Raw genomic sequence first — 16924 nt, forward strand, 5'->3', positions numbered from 1 at the left:
AATAATAGCTAAGGACTTTACATATATTAATTTAAAAAGCAGTGCATATTTGTTTTAAAGATTGAAATTCATACTTCCATAAATACTTTTTTTTTTTACATTTCAAGTTTGGGTGTTGAATCTTGGTCACAGAAAATAGTTTTCTAATGCAAGAAATAGCAAAGTCAAAAGAAGATGCCAGTTTGTACAGGGAAATTAAAGAGTTGGTTTTAGACACCTTGATATTGAAGATACCAAGACCTCCATGCTGGAACTGCTATTTAAGCATCCTGTGAGGAAGAGGGCAGCCTTCCACAAGGAAGTCTCTTCTTACAGTGAAAATGGGCACATCTGGGTGCAGGTGACTCAACACTTTAAGCAAAGAATTAAAATGGAGAGTCTCTTTAATGATCTGAGGCCGTTCAGCAGTCAAGTTATTACAGCTAATTCCCCTTGCTCTGATTCCATGCTCACCAAGCAACCTGCTGATAATAATTTGCTTTCCCACAGAAGCCTGCCCACAGGGAAAGAATGCACTTGTCATGCTGAAGTGAACATTCTGGTTCTCCTGACAGTTAGAGTATGTATTTTAAATTAATAAATTGTCATTCTTATTTTATATCATCAGTTTCCTGAGCTACTATTAATCTGCCCCCAGAAAGATCTGTTTTGGGTGTGCTATTGAATTATGGTCCAAAGTCTACAGGACAAATGGCCCACTCTGGCCATAGTAAACTCACCAAAAGCCATCCAAGAGAACAGCCCTCGGAGCTGTTCGGGGGGATGGGGAAGCAGGACATGGTAGAAGCCTGTCCTTTGGGGCCACACGCCCTGTTCTTGGATTCCTGCTTTTTCTACTAACTCATTACAGAATCTGGGGCAAATAAGCTCTGTAAACCTCAGAGCCAACCTGGGTGGGTCGTGGGGACAGGGCACATAATGAGAGTGTACATTTGATATTAGTTATCTTAAAGGCAGACCATTGATGTCTCTTTGTCAACATTTCTGCATAAACATTAGGAACAAATGAGGACAGCGAGTGTAACTCCTTTAAGACATTCTGCAATAAAAGAAAGGAGATAATGGCTGGGCGGGGTGGCTCATGCCTGTAATCCCAACACTTTGGGAGGCTGAAGTGGGAGGATTGTTTGAATCCAGAAGTTCTAGACCAGCCTGAGCAAATTGTGAGACCTGGTCTCTATAAAAATAAATAAATAAATGGACATAAGGGTGAACAGGTGATGGGACTTAAAGAGAAGCTCTGTTTGCAGTGAGGAGCTAGAGGGCATGTGGTAAACTGAGGGGTTGGGGCCAGTGGAAAGAGAAAGATTGAAAATATGAAGTAGAGTGACAGAAAAGCAAAGGAATTAGAGGAGATTGGAAAAAGGGAAAAGGAAGGAGCCAGGGCAGTTGAGGAAGAGACAGGAACAGTGCAGGCCAGGAAAAAGCACAGGCAGAGCCTTGGCAGCCCCCCTTGCTGGCCCAGAGACCTGCCCAGGCGAGCCCCTCCCTGTCTGTCTCCTATCTGAGAGCCTAGGGAGTAACTGAAGTGTCCCCACCAGGGTGGGGATCTTCTACTTCCTTTGGGTGTGGGTGCTCTCCAGTTCTCTGAAGACTCAGGAAAAAGCAGGCCAAGGAGGAAGGGACCCAATATGGAACATGCCCAAGCCCAGACTCAATATCTAACGTGCCCAACCCCAGATCTCCTTCTATGCTCCTTTCTCTGTTCCGTTCGGCTTGCCTCCTCTCCTCTTTGGAGGCAGAGTGTTACACAGGAGAGACTTTTAGAATAGCAAGGTTCAAGTCCCAGTTCAGTGGCTTTCTATCTAGCATTACTTTGAGCAAGTCATGTACCCTGCCTGAGACTCAATCTCCACATCTGTAAAGTGGAGATGGGAATGCCTTCCTCCAAGCTGTGTGAGGTTAAGTACACAGGTAAGAACAGTTCACTCCATAAAAGTGTGTTCCCTCCATCTCATTTCCACCTCCCCAGTCTACTTTTTCTCCTCTTACTCCATCTCCTTCTCTCCCAGTTTCCTTTCCGTTTCCCTAACATTTTTTCACAATTCTCAACAAGGCCCCTGCTTCCCATCCCAACCCACCATCTCTCTGAGGACTAACCCAACCAAGCGTGGAGAGGAAGAGGCTCCCTGTGAGGGCTGCACCAGTGTGGTCTTGAGCAGGAGCTGGGTCTTAGGATGTCAAGCAAGGATGACAGGAGGAAGGAACAAGCCCTTCTCTCCTCCAGCTGCCCAGCCCTTCCCCCTTCCTCCCTCTGGCCCTAGGTTCCCAGAGCCTGAAGAGCAAAGCCTCAGAGAGTCCTCCCACCCTGGGACCCATGTAGGGGTGACCTTGCTGTCCCACAGGCATCCCTGCCTGCCAACCCAAAATATTACCTGCAGCCCCAGTGCTGGCCCCCTGAGGAGCAGGTAGGATTGGGGAACTGAAACTCAGCCATGAGACCCCAGAGATGGGCGATCCAGATGAAGCAGAGTAATCTCAGCCTTGGGAGCTGAGACAGCGAGAGAAAAAGGAACAAGCCCAGGCTTCTGTCCTGCATGTGTGCAGTTTTGAGTGTGAGGGTGAGGGTGGGAGCTAAAGATAATTCTATTTGGTATCAGTGACAGCTGCCAATAGCCACAGTGCTTGTAGATTGTAGGAACTGTACAAAAGTAGAAGTAAAAAAAAAATTAAGCCAATCTGTGTATGTGTGTATGTGTGTACGTATGGGTGTGTGTAAAAGCCAAATTTATAAGGCCAGGAGCGGTGGCTCACACCTGTAATCCCAGCACTTTGGGAGGCCGAGGTGGGTGGATCACCTGAGGTCAGGAGTTCGAGACCAGCCTGACCAACATGGAAAAACTCCGTCTTTACTAAAAATACAAAAATTAGCTGGGCGTGGTGGCACATGCCTGTAATCCCAGCTACTCAGGAGGCTGAGGCAGGAGAATCACTTGAGCCCGGGAGGCAGAGGTTGCGGTGAGCTGAGATCATGCCATTGCACTCCAGCCCGGGCAACAACACGAAACTCCATCTCAAAAAAAAAAAAAAAAAAAAAAAAAAAGCCAAATTTATAAATGGCTTGCAACTACAGGTATATGCAATTACCGTGCCTCAACAATAAATTATTGTTATATTTACTGTATAACATACAGCAGGTTAATTGTTGTGAGTTGTCATGTCCATACAGGAGTCTCTTTATATTCTAGTCATGCAGCCATTACCCAGCCACAACATTTCAAAGCTTCTCTTCGTCCTCTCACATATCCCCTGTTCATTTTCCTTCTTGGTCTCCTAGTTTCTTTTTTTTTTTTTTTTTTTTTTTTTAATTTTCATAGACTATTGGGAAACAGTTTGGTTACATGAGTAAGTTCTTTAGTGGTGATCTGTGAGATTTTGGTGCACCCATCACATGAGTAGTATACACTGCACCCAATTTGTAGTCCTTTATTCCTCACTCCCTTCCTACCCTTTCCCCCTGAGTCCATAAAGTCCACTGTGCCATTCTTATGCCTTTGCATCCTCATAGCTTAGCTCCCACTTATAAGTGAGAACATACGATGTTTGGTTTTCCATTCCTGAGTTACTTCAATCAAAACTTCAGGCAACATTGGAAGTACTTACAGAAATGCATTCTAGTTTCCTTTTCTCCTTCCCTTCTCTTCCTTTCCTAGTCTGCTCTTGCTGGTCTCTTTCTCATTTTCCCCTCCTTGTCCTCATCCTGTCCCTCTTCTCTCAACCCTGCTTTGGCCATCTTCCTTCCTCTTCTCACTTCCCTATTGCTCCACCAGTGCTGGCGTTAGGCCGCCCAAGTTTGCTCCTGTTAACCCTAGAATCTCAAGCAAGTTCCCCTCCCTTCTAAGCTCCAGTTTTCTCCTCTGTGGACAATCAGAGTAACTCATAGGATCACTAGGAAAACTAAACCAAGCCATCTCCATAAAGAAATTAGCTCAATGCCTGCTGCCACAAAGTTAGTACTCAATAAGGGAAAGCGATGATTATTTTTATTTTTCTTAAAATGTATTTTTTTAACTCTCCACATGGAAAAAACCTCCTACCAAATTTGAGAACCATGTCCTCCCTCTACTGACATTCAATTATCAAAGACTTATCAGGTGCCTACTCTATAGCTAACATGGGCTGGGCATGAGGGAGGCAAAAATTCATTTCCAGTCTTTCAAAAGCCCACAGTCTGGGGAAGATGAGAGCAGACAGAAACATAAAAGACCATTCGAATCGTGAGTGTAGGCCAGACACAGTAGCTCACACCTGTAATCCCAACACTTTGGGAGGCCAAGGTGGGCAGATGCCCTCTATCTCCTCACTTGAGTCCAGGAGTTTGAGACCAGTCTGGGAAACATGGCGAAACCCTGTCTTTACAAAAAATTAGCCAGGCATGGTGGCTCATGCCTCCAGTCCCACTGCTTGGGAGGCTAAAGTGGGAGGACCACTTGAGCCCAGAAGCTCAAGGCTGCAGTGAGCTGTGATTGTGCCACTTCACTCCAGCCTGGGTGACACAGAAGACCCTGTCTCAAAATAAATAAATAAATAAAAATTTTAAAAAAGGATGATGAGTGCAGGGCTATGGTAGAAGGAGGGATGGAGAACTATGGAGGCAGAGGAAAGGCAGTCACCAAGCCTGCTTTGCAGAGTCAGCGAAGACCTCACAGATGGCAATTCTGAGTTGAGTCCTTTTAAAAGGAAAAGAAGAGCTTGCTAAATAAAACAAGGTAAGGACAAGTCAAAGGAACAGCGTGAGGAAAGGCCAAGTGTTGTGAAAGGGAAGGAAGGTTTGCGGAGCAGTGATAGTCATGGCAAGCAGATCATACAGGCATAGGAAGAATGTGCAGTGATATGGGGCTGGCAAGGCAGGTAAGAGCTGGATTCTGAAAGACAGGATCATCTTCATCATTGTCCTCATTGTCACTGCCATTCACTGGGGACTTGGCCTTGTGCTAAGAACTTGACACGTGTTGTCTTATTCAGTCCTCACCAAAACTCTACGAGCAGGAATTACCGTTATCCCCATTTTATAGATAAGGTGACAGAGAGCATTGCCATGGTCAAGATCCTGTGGTTGCTCCTGCAGGTTGCGGGGAGACAGAAGAGGTATCTAAGTAGAATGGCACAATTAGAATTCAGCCCTCTTTTCCATTATCCTTGTTCCCTTTTGTCTCTCTGTGCCAGTCCAGGCTGTCAGGGATTTTAGGAAGGTTAATCTCACAGTTTGGGCTGGCACAAGAGGAGATGGAGGAGCAATGACAACTGGCAAATGGGGCTGAATTCTAGAAATGTTTCCATAGTTAAATATGCAGTCTATAAATGATCTGTATGGGCCAGACATGGTGGCTCATGCCCGTAATTCCAGCACTTTGGAAGGCCGAGGCAGATGGATTGCTTGAGCCCAGGAGTTAGAGACCAGCCTGGGCAACATAGTGAGACCCTGTCTGTTCAAGTAAAATAAAATAAAATAAATGGTCTGTGTGTTTGGATGCAGAACAAGGAGGAATCTGGGGTGACTTCCAGGTTTTTGCCTTGGGACACTGAGGGAATAGAGGTGCCACTATGATGATAAATACAGCAGTGAAGGGAAAAGGAGGAGAAGGTGGAGGGGCAGAAGAAGGAATTGGGATGAAAAAATAATGTATTTAGTTTGAACATGTGGGCTTAAAATGCCTCTTGATCATTGAAAACATCCTCACAGCACTAAAGACAAAAAGACAGATTTGTAGACTTGGAATCATCAACATATAAGGAAGGAGTGAAGTCAAGGGGGAATGAATGACCTCACCCAGAAAGGACAAGAACAAAGAGAGGTGAGGAAAGGACAGAGGACGAGGAACAAGGACAGAGCTCTAGAGGGCGCTCAACTTCAAAAGAAAGGTCAGTGAAGGATCCATTGAAATGAAATGCTGTGGCCCTCCCTCTGTGACCTTTTCCCCTAGGCATCTAGTACAGTGCCCGGCACTGGGTAGGTACTCAAACTCCAGTTGAGTAAATAAAAGGAGAGAGAAAAGCAAGGTAGCTTTAAAGTAAGGAAGGAACATGTTTCCAAAAACATAATGATCAATAATATTTAATATTTAATTAGAATTTATTAATATTTGAAATATATAATGTTGCTAGGAGGTTACTATTTTTTAATATCTTTTCATGAGAGATTCTAAAAATAAATACTTGTTTCTAATTCTTACTCATGCTATACAAGAATTTAGATTACACACATTAAGTTTTGTTTTTTATTTTTTATTTATTTATTTTTTTGTGGAGACAGAGTCTCGCTCTGTCACCCAGGCTGGAGTGTAGTGGCCTGATCTCGGCTCACTGCAACCTCCACCACACGGTTCAGGCGATTCTCCTGCCTCAGCCTCCTGAGTAGTTGAGATTACAGGAGCCCACCACCATGCCTGGTAAATTTTTGTATTTTTAGTAGAGAGGGCGTTTCATCATGTTGGCCAGGGTAGTCTCGAACTCCTGACCTCAAGTAATCCACTTGCCTCAGCCTCCCAAAGTGCTGGGATTACAGGCATGAGCCACTGCATCTGGCCAAACATACATTAAGTTTAATTTCAATGACAGCTACAATTTCCAATTTACTTTTAGATGGTTAGTTAACTCTTTTCCTACTAAATGAAAATATTCAATATGCCACATATGAAAAAAATAAAATTCTCCCACCCACAAAAAAATCCTCCAGGGGCACAAAAAAAATCATTTGTTCCCTCATTTTTAAATATTTCTGCATGATGAGACAATATAAAGGCACAATATAGGTTAAAATAAATCACTCTGTGGTTTCTCAAAAAAAGTGAAAACAGATCCACCATATGATCCAGCAATCCCACTTCTGGGAATACATCCAAAAGAAAGGAAATAAGTACCTTGAAGAGATATCTGTACTCCCCTGTTTATTGCAGCACTATTCACAATAGCCAAGATATGGAAGCAATAATATTTCTTCTTGAGGAATAAAATTTTTAAATGTGGTATTTATATACAATGGAATATTATTCAGCCATGAAAAAGAATAAAACTCTATCATTTGCAGCAACATGGATGGAACTGGAGGATATTATGTTAAGCAAAATAAGCCAGGCACAGAAAGACAAATATCACATATCCTCTGTCATATGTGGGAGCTAAAAAAGTTGATCTCATGAAGGTAGAGAGGGAGAATGGTGGTTACCAGAGGTTAGGAAGGGGAAGAGGAAGAAGGGGGTGAAGGTAGGCTGGTTAATGGGTACAAACATACAGTCAGATAGAAGGAACAGGTTCTAGTATTTGATAACACGGTAGTATGACAATAGATAATGATAATTTATTTTTTATTTATAATAAACGATATAGATATAAACGATAAAATAAACGATATAGATAATGATAATTTATTGTATCTCAAAATAGCTAGCAGATTTGGAATGTTCCCAACACAAAGAAATGGTAAATGTTTGAGGTGATATATATGCTAATTACACATCGTATGCATATACCAAAATATCACATGTACCCCATAAATATGTGCAGTTATTACATATCACATAAAAAATAAAAAATACATTTAAAAAAATCAAAACTGAAATCACTCTGAGTTTACATTTTGTAGTAAAGGCCAGCATGGAGCAACAGCTGAGTAAAAGGGGATACTTCATGGGCACAGGTGTTGGTAATCCCACAAGAAAACCTGTGTTTCCTCATTTACTTTCTAACAAGACTTCAGCTTCCAATTAATGTTTTTCACCAGTTTTCTTTTCTTCAAAACAGCTAATTGTTAACCAGGGACCTGAGACACTCTCTTGCCTATAAACAAAACAACTAGAAGGATACCTTTTTCTGTTCAGACAAATTTTAGCACTAAAAACATAACCCTCAAACCTCAGAGGGATAGCTCAGTGCAAACTGTTCATGTCTAAAGCATAAATTGACCATAAACAATATATTGAATAGGTGCACTGTATACAAACCCCGTGAAAAAAATAAAACCAACTACTACCAAAGGAAGTGACAAAGACCTACAAACCAAGAAGAAATGTACCTTTATGCTACTATCATTGGTCATTTAATAGGCATGCTAACAGAGTAAAAAATAGACATTTCAAACAACAAAAAAGAAAATGTCACATCTCCCATTTCCAACTAACTCCCCCAAATTTATTTTTTAGCAAAAGGGGAATAATAAAGAATATTTGTGAAACCTTAGTCACCAAGATGAAAACAGCAAAACAAAATAGGGATCTGGAGAAAAGAAACAGATCGTTCCAACCAGCCCACAGCTAAATTTCCACTTCATCTCACTAACCATTGAATGCTACCCATCTACTCACCTCAACCCAGACTTAATCCTCTCCCCCAAAAGGAAGATTTCTCAGCAGTGCAGGAAGATCAAACAGGTATCCATTCCGTGACCATGCCAAGGAGAAAAGCAAGGCTACTCTGAAAGCTTGAGGGATGATACAGAAAACAAACTGGGTCTCTAGGGGGCATTCTCAAAAACCTGAGATCAACTCCTGGAAAAACACTCTTGACCACTTACCACCACCGGAAGCTGCTAGATGGCAATCAGAATCAGCATCTCATCAGAAGAAGAGGAAGACCTTACAAGAAAGCAGCTTCACTGTCAGTGAGGAATTGAGGGAGAAAAGCACTCCTTGGAAAAATGCTGAAAGCCCTGAAGAGCCTCTCCTCCCCTAGTTGCCTGCTCCTGCTGACAGGACAGAACTGGTTAATCTTGGGGAAACAAAAGGAAACTCCCAAGAGGCTGGCTTCTGAGGATGGCTTCCTCTGTGGGAATCAAGAATTCAGGAGGATGAAAATGAACAATGGAAGGGGACACCGGCTACCAGGCCTACTTACCAAACTTTTACCAGCCCTTGACTGAGGAAGATAAGCAAATCTGTTTGCAGTTCCCACCTGCTTTTGCAGAGATGAAAGAATCAGCAGTGGGTTTTTGTCACTTTTTTTTTTTTTTTTTTTTTTTTTTTACAGGGGAAGTTCAGCTCTCTTATGGATGAAAGCTAAGCATACTCAAGTGACATTTAGTAGGCAAAGCAATGACACTTCTTTCCCAACATCCTTAATTTCAGCACAGAGGATGCAAACATTAACCCTGATGGTACCAAAGAACAAATGCACATAGGAAATGGATTTACATCTTTTAGTTTGGAATTGCTTTTAAGGGGATTCTGGTTGTTAAAGCGGGATTAGATGAAAATAAAATATTTTGGTGCATATCTATTTTTAAAAGGAAAAATATGGCTTCTTTTAAATATGCCTAAAGCCATCTAGGAATTTTCCAGAAGTTGCATCAGATTTGCCAGTTAAGTACTGAAATCAAATAGATTTTAATCATGTCTCTATAACCAGAGCAAGCTAATCCCCTGCGCACCATCAACTCCACTCTCCTGGAACATCCTCACGCTGGGCCCTCAGGTTTTCACAGAAACAAGGGCCTTTTCCTACCAAGGTTCCACAGTAACAAGAAACTACAGATTTCTGGAAATAAGAGAGATGGCTTTCTTTCTTACATGATAAAAGAGGACCAAGAACAGCTTAGAGCAGGAAGCAATCATCTCTTTAAAATATTTAAAATAAAAAACACTTTTAAGTGAAAAACATTTTTAAGTATCACCTCTATACCATTTTTAAACCTATCATATGGGGCAAATATAAGTTTGGTAATTCCCTTTGTTAAAGAAGATATAAGGAAATCAGGGCCTTTTCCTTTTCCTATACTGTTAGTGGGAATATAAATTGGTAAAATATTTTTTAAAGGAAACTGAGTATAGTAGTGCCTATCAAGTATTGAAATGTGTATGTGTTTTTATTTCTTAGGAATTTACCTTATAGAAAACCACACACACGTGCAAACATATCTCTAAATATGTTAATTATAGCACTATGATAGCAACAACAAAAAAACACCTAAAAATGGCTTACATATAAGAGACTGCCTAAATAAGTTAAGGTATATTGATACAAAAGAGTACTATGTAGCCATTCAAAAGAGGGTAGAATTGGAGTAAGGAATCAGGTCATCTGAGTTTAGTTCTGTCTCCACCAGTGACTGGCCAGGTGACTATGCAAGCTCCTACACTTATCTGGGCCATCTGTAAAAAGATGATCATTATAGAACTTACCTCATAGGATTGTTGCAACTAAAACAGTGCCTGGAGCAAAGTAGAGACTCAATAAATTTAGCTATTATAAATAAGAGATAGGCCTCTTCAGACTGACATAGAAAAAGATGTCCAAGATGTACTGTCAAGTGAAAAGATCAAGTTGCAGAAGAATTGTGTATAAGATAATCTCATTTTTAAAAAATATTTTAAATGTGCTCGCTGTTTATTGTCTCCCTCCCACTAAAATAAAAGCTCCTTGAGAGCAGGGACTTTTGTTTACTGTTGAACTCCTGGTGTCCATAATAAGCACTCATGAATAATGAATAATGTCGAATGAATAATGATAACAGCAAGGCTCAGCAAGAAGAATAGGTGAATTCACAGAGACAGAAAGAGTAGAGGCTACCAAGGGCTGCAGGAAGAGAGTATGGGAAGGTATTGTTTAATGGGTACAGGGTTTCAGATTGGGATGATGGAAAAGTCCTGGAGATGGATAATGGTGATAGTTATACAACACTGTGAATGTACTTAAAGCCACTGAACTGTACACTTAAAGGTAGTTAAAATGATAAATGTCATGTTATGTATACCTAGCACAACTTTTTCAAAAATTTCTACTTTTTCTTCATAAGGAGTAGAAAGACGGGGAACAGAGAAGGATGTCCATCTTATAGAGGACTATTACTAGTGTGACTGCAAACCCTTGCTAATCAGAAAACAGTTTAAATTCTCGATTTAGGATACAAGAAAAAAAAAACCTTTTATTCCCATTATACAAAGGTAGCTAAACAGAGCTTAAACTTTCATCCCTATTAGGCAGTATGTGCACTGTCAGAACGCCAGGTCTGTGTTTTCAAGAGGCCTTATTTTGTTTTAAAGCCTTACTTTTGACAAACGTCCTTTATGTCTGTAGTCTAGAGTTTTCAAAGTGCTTTCTCAAGGATCATCTCAACTTGTCCTGACAAAAATCTCGTGATCATATTAAAGGAATTTTAATTAAGTATCTGAGCATTTGAGAGAAAAAAAGAATTCTGAATTTACTCACTCTTTTACCTTGTTCTCCAACTTTACACACATTTCATCAAAACGAAGAGATGGAAATTTTTATTCTTAAGAATCTGAAACCACACAACTATAAGTCTAATATACAACGGAATAAATAGCATCTTATGTTTCTTAGAACCTGTAAATATCTCTTGCCTAACTGCCAAGATAGCTAAGAAAGCCAATGAATTATGGTTTTAGATAAACAGATTAACTACCTGTAACAAGTGGGATGGCCTGGCCTATAGTTTGAAATCTACAGTTGGAAGAAATTGATCTAACATATTTTCATTCAACAAATGCAAATACTCTGCTAGACACTTTGTGGGACATAGAAAAGATGAACAAAATATGATTCCTGCTCCTGTGATGCTTATCAGCTGCTGGAAGGAATCAGATGTGCAGATGAGGAGATTCTGCAATTTAAGTCTCTGACATTGAGAATGGGATTGACAAATAGTAGATTTAGTCACTTTATGTCAATTCAATTTAATAACAATAAAATAAATTAAGATTTAATTGATTACCTGGAATTTAGTCATAACAGAAGTTTTAGGTTTTGTTGTGTTTGTCTGTTTGTTTGCTTGCTTGCTTTTAAGGCCAACAAGGGAAGATTGAGTTGATTGAAATGTCAAACCAAGTCCTTGGTGTCAGCCTAAACAGCAGAGAAGTAGCTCTGGCCTAAAATTGCAATTTGGGAATATGCACTAAATAATGAAAGAAAATCAGAACAAAGTATTTCATAATTCTATAAGCATATTCTTGAACTATCCACCTGCTCCAAGCAGACTAGAAGCCCACTTGAATCTCCTAAAGTCTACACTGGAGTCTACACTGCAAACCTACTCACTAAAGAATGAGAATTGCTGAAGTGTAAATCATAGAACATTGTGTAAATTACTCACCCACCTTAAGCCTTAACTTCCTGGTTGCAAAATTGGGAAGATTAAAACCTTCTTCTCAAGCTGTTTGTGAAGATTAAATGAGATATTCATTAAATAAATAACAAATGGATAAAAGTATGCATTCATATGAAAATTGTATATGCAGTGATAGAATAAGAATAAATAGCACACAACCCAGCACCTGTCACATAAGCCATTGTCTAACAAAGGTCAGTATCTTCTTTACTATCTCTCCAGAATCCAAATGCGACTACATTTTCTTTATCAGAACAGATAGGAGACTGAAGCCACCTTTGCAAAAATTATAACAGTGAGAAGATTATGACAGTGAAAGACATCTGACCTAACTGACTCCATCTTGCTTCTAACCTCCAAGCTGTCCTTGTCATTCCTGGGCATAGGCTGAACTAACTTTGGGAAAAATTTAGTTTATAGTTTAACTTTGCAACAAAGATGGTAACAGCCCTTCCCCAAACAAACCCCCTTCTTACCTAGGGACCAGTCTGCCTTTGTAGGACTAACAAATTAGCTACAGGATTAAAAATTATGGCTTAGGAGTCATGCAGCCAGAGGCTGCAAGATTCTGAACCTCCCCATATTGCTCCTGAATGGTTTACAGAATTAACCAGGAACAGAAGACAGCAAGGAAAACCCAGTTCAACCTCCTGTGATTTCATCTTCAACTCGACCAATCAGCATTCCCCACTTTCTGACCCCCTACCCACAAAATTATCCTTAAAAACCCCAATCCCCAAATTTTCAGGGAGACTGATTTGAGTAATAATAAAACTCCTGTCTCCCATACAGCTGCCTCTGTGTAAATTAAACTCTTTCTCTGTTGCAATTCCCCTGTCTTAATAAATTGGCTCTGTCCAGGCAGCAGGCAATGAGAACCCACTGGGCAGTTATGAGACCTTTGAATTCTGAGCTACTCCACATCTCCAGTTTTTTTCATCCTGATCCAACCATCTGTCTTCTCCTCTCTCTAGGGCAGTATTCCCCAAGCATATCCTTTCCATACACCATAAAACAGCATAAACAGACATTTTAAAGGGATGATATCAATAAAGATAATTCAAAGTTTTAGTATTTTCTTCCTGCACCCCAGAGCAGTTATTCAGAACCTCCTTACCTCAGCAGGTGACAGGAGTACAGTACACTAATAATGTTCCTGGGCCACCACGCCCCCTTCTCTCTAGTGATTGAAACCAATTTGCCTCCCATTCAAAAACAGATCCAACAAGTCTTTGAAGTAACATATGCCCTCATAGCCTTTAATATCTAAAAAGAAAGTATAGTTTTCTAACCTCTTGTAGTTTCATTTATTATCTGGCACTTTCCACTGTGTATTGGGCCGAAGTTCACCAAGAGAAGGTAACTCAACTCCTCCCCCACCCCAATTTCCCCACCAATTACTTAACCTTTTATGAAATAAAGGAGGTTTCTTTACATTGGCCAACATAAACGACTGACCCATTGTTGGTAGTGCCCTTTCCTGTGTGGGATTTTCCATCCTCCATGAAAAGACTCACAATTAAGTTTTACTTATTACTCAACTAACTCATGAAAAGAACAAAAAGAGAATAAGAGAATGCAAACAAGAAGTTAGAAGTTAAGCCACAGATAGAGACCCGGATTTAGAAGTAGAGGACTTTTCTACTCTACTAATAAAATTTCAGGAATTAAACTTAAAGTAATATAAATCCACCACTACATTACAATTAAGCTGGTAAGATTTTTAAAAAGAAAAAAAAAGATACCTAAATTTATGGGTGCTAAATGTCACCTCTGGGAACCAGCTCCTGACAGTGATCTGGACTTTCCCTCAAGGGCTCTCCTGAATATCCCTTTCAGTGCAGACACTCAGACACAAGCAAGAACAATAGATCCTACAGGGCTTGTTGTTATGCAAGCCCACTCACCAAAACCAGGTGATTTGCATTTAATTTGCCCTTTCAAATACTATCTGAACCATGTGTTCCAGAACTAGATGACCCAGCTTTAAACCAGACAGCCTAACACCAAGCCAGACTATTGGCAACTCTAGTTGTAAAAGTCATTCTAACAATTCATTTCCAAGTGATGAATGCTCCACAGCCAAAACTGGATCCTGGAATAGGCTGTTGGCATCAGCAAGAGAAACACTCCCTAAAATAATGTATCTCTTGCTATCAGGGGAGTATAGTATCTTCTTTGCACATAATGGGTATCCAGTAAAGACTTTTGGCCTCCGCTTTTTTATAGACTGACATCATAAGAAGTCCTTCCAACAATCAGGGCATTTACAAGAAAGGAGTAGTAGAACAATGAACCCGATCTGGATCAGTTTCAGGGCTACATGGTTCTTGTTATCTCAGAATCTCCAAGACCCAAGGAGCAGCCAGACACTTAGGGTCTTTTAACACTCACTCCAGCCCCATTTTCTCCTTAGCAAACTGTCATCCCAATGAGAAGAGACGCTCTGCTCTTCATCTCTTTACCCTTTTAGTCTGTCCTCCAGGTCACTGGGTGTGAAAATTTCCTACCCCTTATATGACACTTGGGAAGTGTAGGGTCCAAGATCAAAGGAGTTCAGGCTCTTAATCAGGACATGTCTCTGGGACATTTCACACATTCTTCACCATTTTCCAAGCCCCAATTCTGTATCAACCCCTCTGCAAGGCATTGGGGACCCCAAGGTAACTGAGACCTGGTCTCTGTGAGAACAGAAAAATAGCTCAGAGCAGTCTGCACTACGGGAGGTTCGAAAAATTTATCAGGCCCAAAAAGACAGGAGTCTAAGATTTCAGTCATGTGACCCCCAAACCCATCTGTGGGGGCAATTGTTTAAAGGCATTTTGTTCCTGACTACCTGCCTCACCTATTATCTTCATGTTCCTGGAATTTTAATACAAAGAAACAACATATAGCCAATCAATAACTTATGTTATTTTTAATGTAAATTCTTGGTAAACAACTTAGAAACTGCCTCTTCTTTTCTTTAAAAACCTGCTTGTAACTGCTGCTACAGCTTGTAACTGCAGAAAACTGAATCTATGCTCCCAGGTTGCAATCCTCAAGCTTGGCCCAAATAAACCCTCTAGTTATATCTATTTTGCCTGGGATTCTTTCTTTTAGGTCGATATCTGCCCTAACAAGAATCCTTCTAGTGGAAGAGAAAATAGTTGTGAACAAATTGTGACACAATGTGATAGTAACTCTAATTTAGGTGTCCCTTGTCCAAACAGGCTTCGGAACTACAGGAGAGGGGAAGCCATATTTCAGTGTGGGTGTGGAGGTGTCACGGGAAACCCTCAGAACAAGTGAAGCTGAGTCCTGAAAGATGAGTAGATGAGTTAGGGAGGGTCTTGTTAGTTCCTAACAAGCTAACAGTCCAAAAAAAAAAAAAAAACACTTCACTAATACTGTCAGAGGCGTCCAAGGCCTTTGAACCAGAGCAACTCCATCTTACATTCCCAGAAGATTAGTCATTCTTAGACACAGTTTCAGTTAAGGGAACAGGTTAATAATGTTTACTGAACAGACCCAGGAAATGTCCCGATGACCTGATATTGTTACTGGAAAGGGATCCCAATCCAGATCCCAAGAGAAGGTTCCTGGACCTTGTGCAAGAAAGATTTCCATTTGGTGGAGGTCCGAGTTTCTGAAAAGTAAACTCAGGGTCATATGTCAAGATGTTATCTTTAGCTTCTGTAGAGAACCAAACATCTTATGACTATAACTTCTTTAGCTATTATTTTAAGCTACTATTACTCTCTTACTTATCAAGTTGCTCATTTAATTCTCAGGACTAGCTAGGTGCCTGGAATTTCCATTGAAGAAACGCAAGATTTTCCTTTATTTCCATGCTTGGTGGAGGGTGGCAGGCAATCTGATAAGCAAGGAGGTAATAATAGCTTGAAACAATAGCCAAAGAAGTTAGAGTCCCAATAGAAACTAAAAATAACATCTTAACATATGTCCCTGAGCTGTTTTGCAGAAACCTGCCCACAGCCCCCACACCCCCCCGCCACCAAATGGAAAACACCATCCACTGGCACAACAGACCTTGGGGAAGGGGGAACTGGAGACTGAAATCTGACCACTGTTCTTCATTCTAAATTTCTTCCTGAGGGGCCTGGCAGAAGTTATACCTACAGGCCAGAGTTCAACATTCCTTTCTGCTGACCCCAAGTTTTTAAACAAATCTTAACCAATCGCAGATCGGGAAATCTTTGAATCTACCTGTAACCTGTGGACCCCCACTTCAAGATGTCTCCCCCTTTTTAGGTCAAACCAATAGCCTCCATGTATTGATTTATGGCTCTGCCTGGAACCTCTGCCTCCCTGCCTTTAAAAACTCTTACATGGAAGCCATCAAGGGGTTTGGGTTTTAAGATTAGCTGCCCAATTCTCCTTGCATAGCACCCTGCAATAAATGCTTCACTTTTCCTCACTGCAAATCAATCCCAGTGTTAGTATTTGGCTTTGCTGCATGGGCAGGCAGATTAACTGACCCATGTTCAGTTCAGTAACAATGGCCTTCCTCTACTGTGACTTGGGCTTCCATTCTAAATGGCTTGAGTGAGTCACAAACATACATCCCACAGCAATCGTGAATGTGGAGAGCAAAGGTGAGTTTGCCATCATCTCAGTATATCAGTCAATGTAATTTCTAGGTCCTAATGGATCAGAGACCAGGCAAAGATTAGGCAAGAATTGAGTCATGGAGGCCTCAAATGTTGCCTTATACACACTATCTCTGAGGATAGCAACCTAGACGCATTCTCTCTTAGATAAATAAACTGCTGCAGCTTGTGCTATAATACCGATTGCAAAGAAATTGATCCTACAGAACTAGAAGACTGCACTGGAGCAGGAGGTTAAAGCATCGGATGGCAG

At 40.8% G+C, this 16924-nt stretch overlaps 1 protein-coding gene across 35 annotated transcripts in view, besides 1 other annotated feature; it reads right to left on the reverse strand.

Annotated features, from left to right (window-relative positions):
* Positions 1–16924, reverse strand: part of ATP8B4 (ATPase phospholipid transporting 8B4 (putative)) — a 323617-nt gene that overhangs the window by 252585 nt on the left and 54108 nt on the right. For 15 of the 35 annotated variants that reach the window (NR_073598.2, XR_002957687.2, XM_011522049.3 and 12 more), the window contains exon 1: positions 2376–2557. The exons of 3 other annotated variants lie outside the window; for them this stretch is intronic. The gene's annotated coding sequence lies outside the window, so the exon portion shown is untranslated. Of the gene's footprint in view, positions 1–2100; positions 2287–2375; positions 2558–3603; positions 3684–8300; positions 8412–8509; positions 8897–12047; positions 12104–13350; positions 13373–16924 lie in introns of those variants that run through there. 17 more of the 35 variants (XM_011522058.4, XM_047433094.1, XM_047433090.1 and 14 more) reach the window with 6 other exon arrangements.
* Positions 5615–6128: an enhancer, noted in NCBI's record as "NANOG hESC enhancer chr15:50408634-50409147 (GRCh37/hg19 assembly coordinates)". NCBI's record gives its function as "activates a minimal SCP1, AML or CMV promoter by ChIP-STARR-seq in naive H9 embryonic stem cells {active_cell/tissue: H9 hESC(naive)}" and the evidence as "EXISTENCE:reporter gene assay evidence [ECO:0000049][PMID:30033119]".

This window comes from Homo sapiens, chromosome 15, assembly GCF_000001405.40.
Source record: "Homo sapiens chromosome 15, GRCh38.p14 Primary Assembly".
NCBI lineage: Eukaryota > Metazoa > Chordata > Mammalia > Primates > Hominidae > Homo > Homo sapiens.